Genomic DNA, 13,711 nt, shown 5'->3' on the forward strand with positions numbered 1-13,711 from the left:
ACAAATGAAAAAGCTGCAGAGAGACCTCCCATTTGGGGCTCAGGGTGAATGCTTTTATTTTAAAATGCTGACTGTCTGAAATCAGATTTCTTCAACCCGGACTTTGGCTTTGAACTGAGGCACACAAGCTACCTGTCACCTGAAGAGTGCAATTAAGCTCTGTACTTGGAGCTATGTTTTCTATCAATGCTGAGGGGTGGACATGAACAGTGCGTGGGATTCGTTTGGCTGAAAGAACAAGACAGGCCTATTAAAAACAATTCCCTTTTTGTTTCATTTCTTCCCGTTTTCTGCCCACACCCCACCCTCCTTTTTCCCAAATCGCCAACAACCTGAGAAGTCACAGAAATCAGCAAGAAATAAATCAATAATCAGATCAATTCCTGGATGATCATCATAAATCAATAATCAGATCAATTCCTGGATGCTATGGATTCAATAAAGGCTTGTGAATGAAAACCTTCCTAGTCCTTGTGAGTCTCCTAAAATGTTTCTATTGCAATCAGAGATGTTAATTGGTTGAAACTGCCTGTGGTCTTAGGAAGTGCTCCGATTACAAAAAGAAATCCTTTTATGTTGCTGGACTCCAGCCACAAAATCTCTGATGTTAGGAATCTGGCAGAGGTTGAGCCCCCTCCAGGGTGTAAATAAACTGGCCAGGTCTATAACCCAATAGAAGTCAATTTATTATGTGTGTGTGTTTCAAGTCACTCAGCCCAAACCCTGCCCATGTATTAAAGAAAAGATGTGGGTTACAGCCGGAGCCCAGACAATGGAATATAGCAACGGAGGCCCCGCAATGATTGTCAAGTCTACACAGTCAATGGAGGAGATGAGGGGGACCTGTGGAGATCGATATTTCTCTTCCTGCCCAGATTTGCAAGGCTCTGCCTAGAATCAAGCAGCTAAGCATGACTGGCACACAGAACTGCTTACTTTGCTAGCTGGGAGGCTGAAACGCAAACGGCTTAAGTGGGGGAACGTTTTATAGCCTCCGTCTGGAAGTCCCAGTGACATTCTCTGCTGCACTGATAACACATGAGCCCACATGCTTGTTATCAGAACTAGAGGTTTCGCTGGGCCACATCTTGCCCTGACTCAGTGAAATGCTTAGGGCAGCGTATTGGGAGGCGGCTCAGAAGCGTTGGGCAGGGAACACGTTGGGCCCCTCGTTTCCACACACAGAGCAGTTTCACTTACATTGTAAAAGGTTGTTTGGGGTTCACCTAATCTCGAGGCTGGAGGAAGCATCCCAGTGCCCCTCCACCCTCATCCCTGCCTCCAGCTCTAGTATACTTGTATTCCCCAAACGGTGTGTGGCAGCATGGCGAGGGTGTGAAATGTACCCGGCCTCGTTTGCATACCTCTCCAGACTGCCAGTAACAGTGAGCTATTAGTGAAACCCAGGACAGTCTGAACAAAGCTGCCTCTTAATTGCTCATTCTCAGCCTTGGTCCATCGAGCACCACTACCCACCTACACCTTAAAAAAATAGACCAACGAAACCTCCCATAAATTTACAATACCCCACTTTAACATAGAAAACGCAATAATAGTCCAGCCGGGAGAGTCTTTTTTTTTTTCCTTTTGGTGGCTTTTTTCCCCCCTCCATCCCCTTCATTCCCATTGGTTTCTGCCAAGTCCCAAAGAACCAATGGGATCCCTCTTCTTCATTCATGTCCTAGCAACAAGCTCTGTTCCAATCTTTCTCTGCCAAACTAACACCTGAAAAATTACATCATGAATAATGGCAAAAGCAGCAAGGGCCAGAGAAGGGCTTTTTTTTTTTTTCATCTGTCTGCTTCAGAGTTCATTTAAGGTGTTTTAGTCTAGATTCTTAAAGTGACAATGTCTTAGATTTTTGCTGATCTTTTTCAACACATTGGTTAACATAAGCAATATAAAATGAACAGTAATTGAATGCAGCAAAAGGCCTTTAGGTGAAGTGAGGGAAACACATTTTGTTAAGGGTGTTCCCTATATGTTCCTTTCAACAGTCTTCATTTAGGGAAGCCCCTGAAGTGGAGAAGTAGATTGTTCATATGGTATAGTCTTTGAGAAAGGACTAAAATACTGCAAACCACACAAGCCGCCCACCCACTCTCCCATACAAAAATGCACCCCTTCCTGGTGGCTTCTCTCACTCAAGTTAACTATACCCAAGGCCCTTTCTATTCCTACTTTGGAATAAAGAATCCATTCTGTTAAGGGGGTCCTGGAGCCAAGGAAGGAATTGCCTTGTGAATTTGCAAAAGGTGTGGGGTTGTTGGGGTAAAGAGCCACAGGGTGGGGGTGCCGGGAGCACGTGTGTGTCTGTGCACGTGCAGGGCTGCTAATGCAGACAGGCAGCTGGGGAAATGCAAGAACAACGAGATCCAGATGACCAGGGAGGGAGGGGGTTGGTAGAGAAATCAGAAAGGGGAGCTAAGGTGATAAGGAGTGGGTGCGGGGGAGGGAAGGAGGCCAGGAGAGGAAAACAACTGCACAGGCAGACTTGTTCTGTCCAAACGGGCAAAGTTTCTAATGCAAATGTCCACTTCTAGGCATTTCTCAAGACCCAGATGCTGATTTGACACTTCCGGCTTCCCCACCCCACCCAGTCTAGTGCAGACAGGGAGCAGAAACTCAGACACAAAGAACTGCAGCCTGTGCAGGCAGCAAGCGGGAGAAGGGTGGGTGCTCAGCACCTGCCAGGCATCCACGGGCACTGTGCATTGCCTGCCCAGCACCCTGGCCCCTCAGTGCTAGGCACCGGCACCTATGCACACTGGCTTCCTGGTTTCCTTGTAAGCATGTGTGAAGTGCTGGCGGCATGAGCTGGGAAAGGGCCCCTGAGGCCTTCTCGGGTGCCTGGGACACAGAAAATAGATCTATTTGGTGTCTGGCCCTGACCGGAGTTTGCAGCTTGCTTCAGCCATGCCTTGGCAGTAGAGTGGTTAGAGGTGCTGGCAGACAGTCACAGTCAGCCTGAGTTCTTGTGAAACTTCATGACTATATAAGGCCTGGGAAGGAAAGAGAATGATGCCAACCTAAGGGATGGGATAGTGAAAGAATGGGGAGAGTGCAGGGAAGGCCACTTTTGGTGCAGAGCTAGAGATATTCCCCTTTATCCACCCACAGCAGGTTGCAGTGACAGTGAATTTTCCTGCAGAAATTGTGCCATCAATTGCGTGATAAAGGAGGAATCCCGAAGTGGGTAGGTGGACGGGGTGCTGCACCAGGTTCCTGCAGGAGTAGATGCTCTTTCTCTGGTGACTTGCTTGACAGTGGCCTCCCCTTCTGGTCAGAGTCAGCTGGCTTCAACGTGGGCCAGGAAGAAGACCCTGAAGTCCGAAGTCTCAAATATCTTTGATGAGTATCACATCCCATGGTACAGAAGACTTAGGTCACCTAGCCTGAGGGGCAGTTTTGGAGAAAGAGATGGCCAGGTAGGCTAGGCCAGTGAAAAGGCAAGAGGAGCAAGGAGTACTGGCTCAGAAGTCAGGAGTCTTGTATTCATCCTGGCTCTGGCAGAGAGATCTTAGATGAGTGTGATCCCTTTTCCTACGCAATGCCACTGTTGTGATGACATGAGATCATTCTCATAAAGAGCTTAGAGTAGTGCCAGGGTATACAGTAAGCACTCAATCATGTTAGACATTGCCATCACTACCCTCCCACTCACCTTCTGCATGGTTCTGGAACCTTGAGTTAGAAGGGATGCCATCCCCAGCTGCACCCTCTTGGTTTTTGCAGTATAACATTTTTCTGTTTTTCTTCCCACTTCCTGGGCACTCCTTCTCATTGTTCTTTGTGGACCCTGCTCTTTCTGGCCTGGCACTTAAGGACTGGTTCTCCTCTGGGCTCTGTTACAGGATCTACTCTTCTCTCCTTACAGCTCTGTTTCTGTGACCTCATCCTCCCAAAGGTTTTGCTCTATTCTGATGGGTGCCATCTCCATACTTCCAGCCTGGATGTCCCAAACTTCAGGACACCATGTGGAGTAATCTGGACTTTTTCCTATCAGCATCCTCTAGGTACGTGAGGTTGAATATGTTCCTCATCTTTGCCTCAAAATCCCCTGAGTGCCTCTTTACCTTCATATAGAATGGAGATGCTTCCATTCAGTGTTGCCCAAGGAAGAGAGCTGGCTGTTATCCTTGACACCTCCTTGTCTCTCATCCTCCAAATCTAATCCCTCACTAACTGTCCTTTTTACCTCCTAGCTATTTTTCAAATGCATCCACTTCCTCCCTCTCCACTGCCATCGGCCTAGCAGAAGTTGCCAATTCTCTCACCCAGACTGTTTGGTTAATACTCTTGCTCCTGCGTAGGACCCCTGGCTGGCTTTTCATGGTTCTCAGGACATGGCTTGGATATGACTTCCTGCCTTTTGCACTTCATCTTGCTTTGTTGTTCTTAGAGTTCCAACCACACTGATCTTCCTATACTTCCTTCAAAATGCTTCCCTCTCCCACACAGGGACTTTGCAAATGCAAAATGCATCCCCTCCCCCAATTGGATGAAGTCATACCTACTCATCCTTAAGCGTCTAACTGGATGGTCATTTTCTCAAGGAGGCTTCCCCTGCTCTCCTGGGCTAGGCCAGGTCCCTTTGTATGTGGTCCCATAGAATTGTTCAGCTTCTTTCACCTTGAAATCATACATTCTACTTGTTCAATTAATGTCTGCTTCCCCTATAAGACGGTAATACCATGAGAATAGAAACCTCATTCTTTTCTTCATCATTATTGTCTTAAATATCTACCACAACATGGATGCTTAAAGAACATTTGTTGGATAAACAAATAAAAGAAACTCTCACAACTAAGTGCCACCAGTAAATCTAATAAGTAGGATTTCTTGCCATATGAAAACGTGGAACAGGGCAAGGTCAAGAACAAAGCCCCGTACTTTTAATCCATTTTATAGAATCTTTTTTTGATTATTGAAAGTCAATATTATTGAGGTATAATTTACATAAAAATCACATAGATTAAAATGAACCCATTTAAAGTGCACATTTTGATGAGTTTTGACCAACACATGCACCCCTGCAAGCATCGCCACAGTCAAGACGGAACATTTCTGCCATCTACCATGTCGCGTTGTGTGCATTTTTCACCCCTTCCTGGATCCAGGCAACCACAGCTCTGTCTTCTGTCTCTATTGATTAGTACAGTATTGCCTGTTCTAGAGTTTCACATAAGTGGAATCATACATTATGTACTATTTGTATCCAGCCATTTTTACTCAGCATAATGTTTGTGAGACTCGCTCATGAGGTAGCATATATAAGTAATTTGTTCTTTTTATTTCTAAAGAATACTCCACTGTGTAAATTTGTCACAATGTGTTTATGCACTCCCCTCTCGATGGACATTTGGGTTATGTCCAGTTTTTGGCTATCGTGATTAACTCAGTCTCAAATATTCCTGTATGAGTCCTTGTGAGTCTGTGTGTCCTTGTGTATGAGTCCATTCATTTCACTTCCCTTGAGTAAATGCCTAAGCGAGGAATTTTTACGTCATAAGGTAAGTGTATGCTTAACTGTATAAGCAACTGCCAGTTTTCCAAAGTAGTTGTCAGATTTTACCCTCCTGTCAGCAGTGTATGAGAGTGCACCTTGCATTGCCTGTCTAGCACCCTGAACCCTGAGTCCTAGGCACCAATACGTATGCACTCTGGCTTCCTGGTTTCTTTGTAAGCAGGTGCAAAGTGCTGGCGGCATGAGCTGGGAAAGGGCCCTTGAAGCCTTCTCCCATGCCTTGCTGGAGATGCAGTAAACAGATCTATTCGGTGTCTAGCCCTCACCTGGAGTTTGCAGCTCATCTCTGCCATGCCTTGGCTGAGAGTCCCAGTTGTTCTACATACTTGCCAACATTTGGTATTGTGTGCGGTGATAATTTATTGGGCAATTAATTTTTATTTCCATGATTACTAATGAGGTTGAGCTTCTCTCTCTTCTCTCCCTATGTGTGTGTGTGTATATATATATATATATATATAATGTCATTGTTGTTTTGTTTTGTTTTTCTTTCCACCTGATTTGTAGCTTTTCTTTTTATTTTCTTAATAGTATTAAAGATCAGAACAGCCATATTTAATTTTGATGGAGCTTAATTGATTATTTTTTCTTATATGATTAATGCTTTACTTGCCTTTATTATGGAATCATTGCCTACCCTGAGATTGATAACATTTTCTACTGTTTCTTTCTTGAAGTTTTGTAGTTGTAACTTTTAAGTTGAATTTAGTGACGGACTTTGAGCTACTTTTTTGTATGTGATGTGAAATAAAAGCCAAGATTTAAGTTTTTCTTCACAAACATCTGGTTATTCTAACACAGTTTTTTGAAAAGACTGCTTTTTCCCCCATTGAATTACCTTGGCAGTTCAACTGTTTGAATGAACTGACCAAAGGGTTGAAAAATCAACTGACCAGATATGAGTGTGGGTCTGTTTCTGGACCCTATATACTCTCCATTGATTTGTATGCCTGACCTCACACCAATGTGTGAGCACAAACCTCACTGGTTAGTGTCATTTCCTAGTAAATATAAAATCAGACAGCATAAATTCTCCAACTTTGTTCTTTATACAAAATTATATTATACATTATGGATTTTTTATTTCCCTATAAATATTAGAACCAGCTGTCAAATTCTACAAAAAAAAACTTTTATAATTTTGCTCAAAATTATATGGATCCTGGCTGGGTGCAGTGGCTCATGCCTGTAATCCCAGCACTTTGGGAGGCCAAGGCAGGTGGATCACCCAAGGTCAGAAGTTTGAGACCAGCCTGGCCAACAGGGTGAAACCCCATCTCTACTAAAAATACAAAAATTAGCCAGGCGTGGTGGTGCACACCTGTAATCTCAGCTGCTCGGGAGGCTGAGGCAGGAGAATCACTTGAGCCCTTGAGCCCAGGAGGAGGAAGTTGCAGTGAGCCGAGATTGTGCCATTGCACTTCAGCCTGGACAATAGAGTGAAGCTCCATCTCAAAATAAATAAATAAATAAATAAATAAATAATTATACGGATCCTATAGATCAATTTGGGAGAGTGATAACATTTAGTCTTTCAATCCATGAACATGGCATATCTTGGCTTTCTTCTCCAATTTCTCTCAACAATGTTTTTGCTTTGCCATTGTCAGTGTGCAGGTCTTGAAAAGATTTTTATACTTATCCCTTATTATATCATGTTTTTGAATGCTATGGCAAATTATATTGCTTTTAAATATTATTTTTTATTTTGTGTATAGAAATATAACTGACTCTTTCCTAACATCCTCTGACCTAGCATCCTCTATTGTGTGTTGACCTAGCATCCTCTGATATTCCAAATTTACTTAGTTTCAACGACTTCTTAGGTTCCTTAGAATTTTCTCCGTACGTGATATTGCCTCTAAATAATAGCAGTTTCACGCCTTTCTTTCCAACAACTATCTTTTTATATCTTTTTCTTTTCTCATTTCGCTGGCTGGAACCTCCAGTACAAAGTTGACTAAAAGTAGTGAGAGCTTATATTTTTGCCTTGTTACAAACCTTAGGGGGAAAGAGTTTAGTGTTCAGCATTAAGTATGATGTTAACTGTAGGTTTTCATAGACATCCTTTACCAGGTTGAAGAAAGTTTGCTTCTAGTCTCAGTTTACTGAGAGTTTTTATCATGAATGAATGTTGAATTTTGTCAAGTGCTTTTTCTGCATCTATAGAGATGATCATGTAATTTTCTCCTTTATTTTGTGGCAAAATTTTATGGCAAATTTCAGTGGCTGATTTTCAAATGTTAAATCAGTATTACATTCTTGGTATAAATCCTGTTTGGTTATGATGCATTATGATTTTTATACATTGCTGAATTTAATTAGCGAATATTTTGCTAACACTTTTGTGTTTATATTTATGAAGGATATTAGTTTGAATTTTTTTCTTGTAATTTTATTATTTGGTTTGGGTATCACATTATTACTGTCCTATAAAATGAGTTGGCAAATGTTTCCCCTTTTTTGTTTTCTAAAAAATATTCTGTGAAAAAAGTATTATTTTTTCCTTGTAAGTTTCAACTAACTGACTACGGAAACCATCTGAGGTGGGAGTTTGCTTTTTGGGAAAGTTTTACATTTTTGAAAAGAATGTCTTTAATTAAATTCACTTAAATATATTTTATATTCATACACTTACCATTTTGATGCTCTTCATTTCTTTGTGTAGATCGCAGTTTCCATTTGATGTCATTTTCCTTCAGCCTAAACTTCTTTAATATTTTTGTATGCAGATAGGCTGATGACAGATTCTTTTAGCTTTTGTTTTAAAAAAATGTCTTTATTTTGCCTCCATTTTTGAGACAGATTTTCAATGGATATAGAATTCTGGATTGACCATTTTCTTTCAGCACTTTAAAAGTGTCATTCAATTTCCTTCAGGCTTACTTTTTTTTTTTGGAAAGTCTGCAGTCAGTATTATTTTGCTTCTTTGTATATATTTTTTCTCTAAGTGCTTTTGCAATTTTCTCTTTATCTTTGATTTATACAGTTTCACTCTGGTGTGTCCAATTATTTTTATTCTACATGCTCTTTGTCGAGTGTCTTGGATCTCTGGATTTATAATTTTCATCAAATTTGGTAAATTTGTAACCATTATTTATTTAAATAATATTTTATGTTTGTCCTTCTAGGACTCAAATTACACACATGCTAGACTGCTTCCTCTTGTCTTGAAAGTCACTGATGTTATGTTCATTTTTTTTCTAATTCTTTTTTTCTTTCCTCTGCTTCAATTTGGATAATTTCTATTGCCTTGCCTAAAAGAACTTCAGGCAAGTTCTTAAAACAGAACTGGTCTTTTTTACTGCAATGTCTAGTCTGCTTTAGGTAAGTCTATTTAGTAAATTTTTTATTTCAGATATAATATTTTTCAGCTCTGGAAGTTCCATTTTGATTTTTTTTCATATTTTTAATTTATACTTTTATATTCTCTCTTAAATCATTAAACTTGTTTATATTAGCCATTTAAAAGTTGTTGTCTGCTACTTTCATAATTTCTATCTGTTCTGTCACTGTTCTTATTGCCTGTTTTTTTTTTTTTTTAAACTGACTATGGGTTCCATATCTAACCATTTCTGGTGTAGGGTGTCCATTGGGTGTTGTACATTGTGAAAGCTACATTGTTGAGTGTCTTGGATTTTGTTGTTTTCCTTTAAAGACCGGTGAATTTTGTTTTGGCAGACTATTAAGTTACTTGTGGATCACACTGACTGTGTTGAGATTTGTGTAAAAATTTTTAAAACTTGGGTCTAGAATAGTCTTTACCCTCACGGTAGTTTTATCTTATTACTGCTAAGGTGTGGTTCTTCTGTAGTCTCTGCTAAATGCCCTGAGGTTCTATGAACTCTCTTCATGCTGGCTGGCTGGAGCTTAACTATCTTCCAGCCCATGTGAGCTCTGGAAATTGTTTAGTTTACCACTCCCCAATATTTGTTGTTTTCCTGGCCTCATAGAGCTTCTGTCTGAAAATATGCAGCTTAATACTTAATAAAAGACTCAATGCAAATTTCTGGAGCTCTTTTCCTGTGTAGAATTCCTGCTCTGTTGTATTCTATTTCATAAATTCCAGCTGCCCCTGCCTGCTCAAACTCTGATTTCTGCCTCCTCAATTCAGCAAGAATGCTGTGCTTTGCTTGGGCTCCTTTCCTGTCTGCTGTGGCCTTGAAAATGCTTCCAGACAGAATGCCCATCCTCTTCTATAGCTCATCTAGTTTGCATCTCTTTTCTCAGAGATCGCAGTCCAGCATTGCCTATTTTCTAATGTTTGAAAATAATTGTTTTTTTTTGTCCAGTTTTTAAGTTATTTACTATAGGAGGGCAAACCTGGTACCAGTTACTCCATCATGGCCATTGATACAGGTTTAATCAGCTTACATAACAGAATTTTCATTTTGTCTGTATTTCTTTAAAGAAATCACCAGAAGAGTACAAAACCAACAAAAAATATATATGACCTCTGTATGATCACATTAATTCACTTGTCTGATAAGCCTTTTCAAACAGAAATAAGATTAGTGGATTTGACTTATTCATAATGAACCCATGCTGGCCTATAGGGATCACATCTCTTTCTCTTCGTAAGTCAGACATTTAATGACGTTTTAAGGATTTTTCCAGAGAATGTAATGTTTACCATTAAGCAGGTTTTGGAATATGCTTTTTAGAAATATGAAAATATTTATCTGTTTTTGGTCTTTGGCATAATATTTATAAATAACATTTATTTGCTTATGAAGTGCTTACTGTGTGCCTGGAAGCAGGCTACATGTTTTATATACCTTATCTTTTTGAGTCATCATAATACTGTGAGTTTTGAATCATTACAATAATATGAGTTCTTCTATTATCCTCACTTAATAGTTGAAGAAATTGAGAATTCGAGATATAAAATAACATGCTTCAGGCCACATAACCAGAAAGAGATGGAGCTGAAATTTGAATCAAAGAAGTTTGATTAGAAAATACCAGTTGAACCACTGGGCTATCCTTAACATCACCTGTCTTGAGCTTCGTGATTTCTCAGAATTTTCTTTTAACCAAAAAACTGAACTCTTTTTTTGTTTCTAAATATCATTTGAAGTACCCAAGGAATGCCGAATATGAACAAATATGGGGTCCTTCAGCGTCCTTTTTTTTTTTTTTTTTTTTTTTTTGAGACGGAGTCTCACTCTGTTGCCCGGTGTGGAGTGCAGTGACGCAATCCCGGCTCACTGCAACCTCCACCTCCCAGGTTCAAGCAATTCTCCAGCCTCAGCCTCCGAGTAGCTGGGATTACAAATGTGCACCACCACGTCTGGCTAGTTTTTTGTAGTTTTAGTAGAGATGGGGTTTCACCATGTTGGCCAGGCTGATCTGTTCAGTGTACATTGAGTATGTTTTACTGATTCATTTAATCTCTTTCTATTCTTAGGGCATTCCAGGCAAATGGAATAATATGAAAAACAGCAAAAGAAGCATGAAGCTGCAGAACTTATTAGTTCAAATGCAATATGGGGATGTTTTGTAGCAACATCACATGGATGTTGAGAGGGTTGAAAGGAAGGAAACACATTTTACTACATAAGGGACTAGTAATGAGAATGTATGTTTAAAGTTCATAGATATATTTGGTACAACCATGACTACAACACCTGAATAAATTTAATTAATGCTTTTCCTGTGAAGAACATATAGTACTTGAGTATATCATAAAATACTATTGTTAGTGGTTTCAGGAGGGAGAATCATTCACCAAACAAGACAGACAAGAAAATCATGAGGATAAGAGCTGGACAAGTGTGATGTGTTGTTGGTAGAGGACACCCAAAGGAGGGAGAGATCAGACTCACTTGTTTATTTAAAGATGAGTAAGAATTTGCCTGACAGATGGGAATCATGACAGCTGGAGAGAGGATGTTCTAGGCAAATGGAACAATATGTATAACAACATAGAGGCATGAAACAGACCACATTCTCTTTGATCAGTAATGTAACATATATATGAATGTGTACATTCAAATAAGTTTAAAATCTTAGTGCTCTCCTCCAAAGAGTTTATAACATAATTGAATAGATAATGTGCAAGTATGGGAAGAAAATGTTAATACTATGTGATAATGGTCTGATAAGTATCTGTTGAATAAATGAATGATAAATGAATGAATGTCAGCGTGTGCTAAATGCCAAATGACTAATGCTACTGGTAGGATCTCCAGGAGGACAGGGCAGGGGATGCTCACTTTTGCATGATATGATTTGGAGAGTCCTTGATGGAGAAGTGGGGATTGATCCAGACTTTGAAGGGTGGGTAGAAGTTGGATAAATGGATGAGGGAAGGTGCCCCAAGGGAGTGAAGAACAGCATCAGCAGAAGTAAGCAGGAGAGAGGGGTGTTATCAGGGAGGGAAGGATGAATGTGGAGGAGCTAGGACCAAAAGGTGGGCATCCCCAGATCATAATGGGCCACGAATCATAGGCTGATTTTGAACTTTGTTTTGTTGGTTGTTGGGGAATCCTAAAGGGTTCTGAGCATGGAACTGACAGGATAAAAGTAATTTTTAGTCATTATGGACAAACGTGAATTATACAACAGCCAAGCACGGTGTCTCATGCCTGTAATCCCAACACTGCGGGAGGTAGAGGCAGGCAGATCACTTGAGTCCAGGAGTTCGAGACCAGCCTGGTCAACATGGTGAAACTTTGTTTCTGCTGAAAATACAAAAAAGTTAGCCAGGCGTGGTGACACACACCTGTAATCCCAGCTCTTGGACCCGGGAGGCAGAGGTTGCAGTGAGCTGAGATCATGCCACTGCACTCCAGCGTGGGTGACACAGCGAGACTCTCTCTCTAAATAAATAAATAAATTTATGAAACTTTTTTTTTCCACAGTTCTTTAGCACCTACTGAGTGCCATACACAGGGTATTCCAAGATAAGTAAGACCCATTTCTTGCTTTTAAGGAACTTTGAAAGTGAAAGTGATGGTTGAGAAGAATTAATTTGGCAGTGATGAGAAGAGTGTATTGGAGGGAGAGAGAGGCAGAGAGAGCAGTTATGAAGCAATTAAGGTAATTTAGGCACTAGCACCTAGTGAGGTGGGATGTGGGGTGAGGCAGGGGTGGGAGACATAGGAAATAGGAAACAATGGATGGATATTGGGGCCCTCACAGAGGGAGAAATGACAGGTCTTGGGACTGACAAAAGATGGCAGACAGTTGAGAGCCAACAGAGCACCAAGCTTTCTAGCTTCAGTGGTTAGAATGGTGGTGGTACCAATGGCGAGAATTCAGAGTCGAAATGTACTGAGCATTCATTATATGCCAGAGGATGTAGTGAGCATTCACTATATGCCAGAGGATGTAGTGAGGATGTAGTGAGGATACAGCGGTGAATAGAAACAAGGCCTCTACTGTATTCTAAATAGAGAATATATGGATCTCATATTGTAGAGGAAGACAGACCATCACTCTTACTCCTTGCTGTACTTTATTCTCCATCCTGCCACTGCCTGGCATCTGATATCCTCTGCTTCAGTGTTGTTCAAGAGAAATATAAGGAGAGCCACGTTTGTAACTGAAAATATTCTAGTGGTCACATAAAAATGTAAGAAGAAATAGGTGAAATGATTTTTATTACAATATCTTATTTCACTCAACATATCCAAAACATTATCATTTTAACATTCAATCGATATTAAAAGCTTATTATAAGATTTTTTACATTCCTTTTTTTATACGGAGTTTCTGAAATTCAGTGTGTATTTTAAAACTTGTAACACTTCTTAATTTGGAAGCTAAATGTTCAATGTTTAAAGGAAAATGTAGCCCTATCAAAACAAAGTAGTTGTGTTTAACAAAAAAATATTTCACACGGTTTTAGTTCTTTAGTTGCACCAGACACGTCTCAAATTGTCCAGAGGCGCATTGGCTGGTGGCTACCATATTGGACCACACAGCTGTCTATTATCTGGCCCCTCTTTATTCTAGCTTAGGTTTCATTATGTCATCAGGCATAGGGCACAAGTGTCCCTGGTAATCAGGCAGGTTCCTGCATTATACCATAAACACAGCACAATAATTGAGGCTCAGCTTCCTCATCTGTCAAATGGAAACTAAAAATTCTTGTCTCATAGGGAAGTTGTGGGGAGCCAATCATATTACATGTGTGAAATCACCTACAACAGTGTTGGGGAATAGTAGATGTCAGCA

General features: G+C 40.3%; 1 annotated feature.

Moving 5' to 3' along the window:
* Window positions 2,071-2,571: an enhancer, noted in NCBI's record as "H3K4me1 hESC enhancer chr11:121543162-121543662 (GRCh37/hg19 assembly coordinates)". NCBI's record gives its function as "activates a minimal SCP1, AML or CMV promoter by ChIP-STARR-seq in primed H9 embryonic stem cells {active_cell/tissue: H9 hESC(primed)}" and the evidence as "EXISTENCE:reporter gene assay evidence [ECO:0000049][PMID:30033119]".

This window comes from Homo sapiens, chromosome 11 (assembly GCF_000001405.40).
Source record: "Homo sapiens chromosome 11, GRCh38.p14 Primary Assembly".
Classification (NCBI taxonomy): Eukaryota; Metazoa; Chordata; class Mammalia; order Primates; family Hominidae; genus Homo; species Homo sapiens.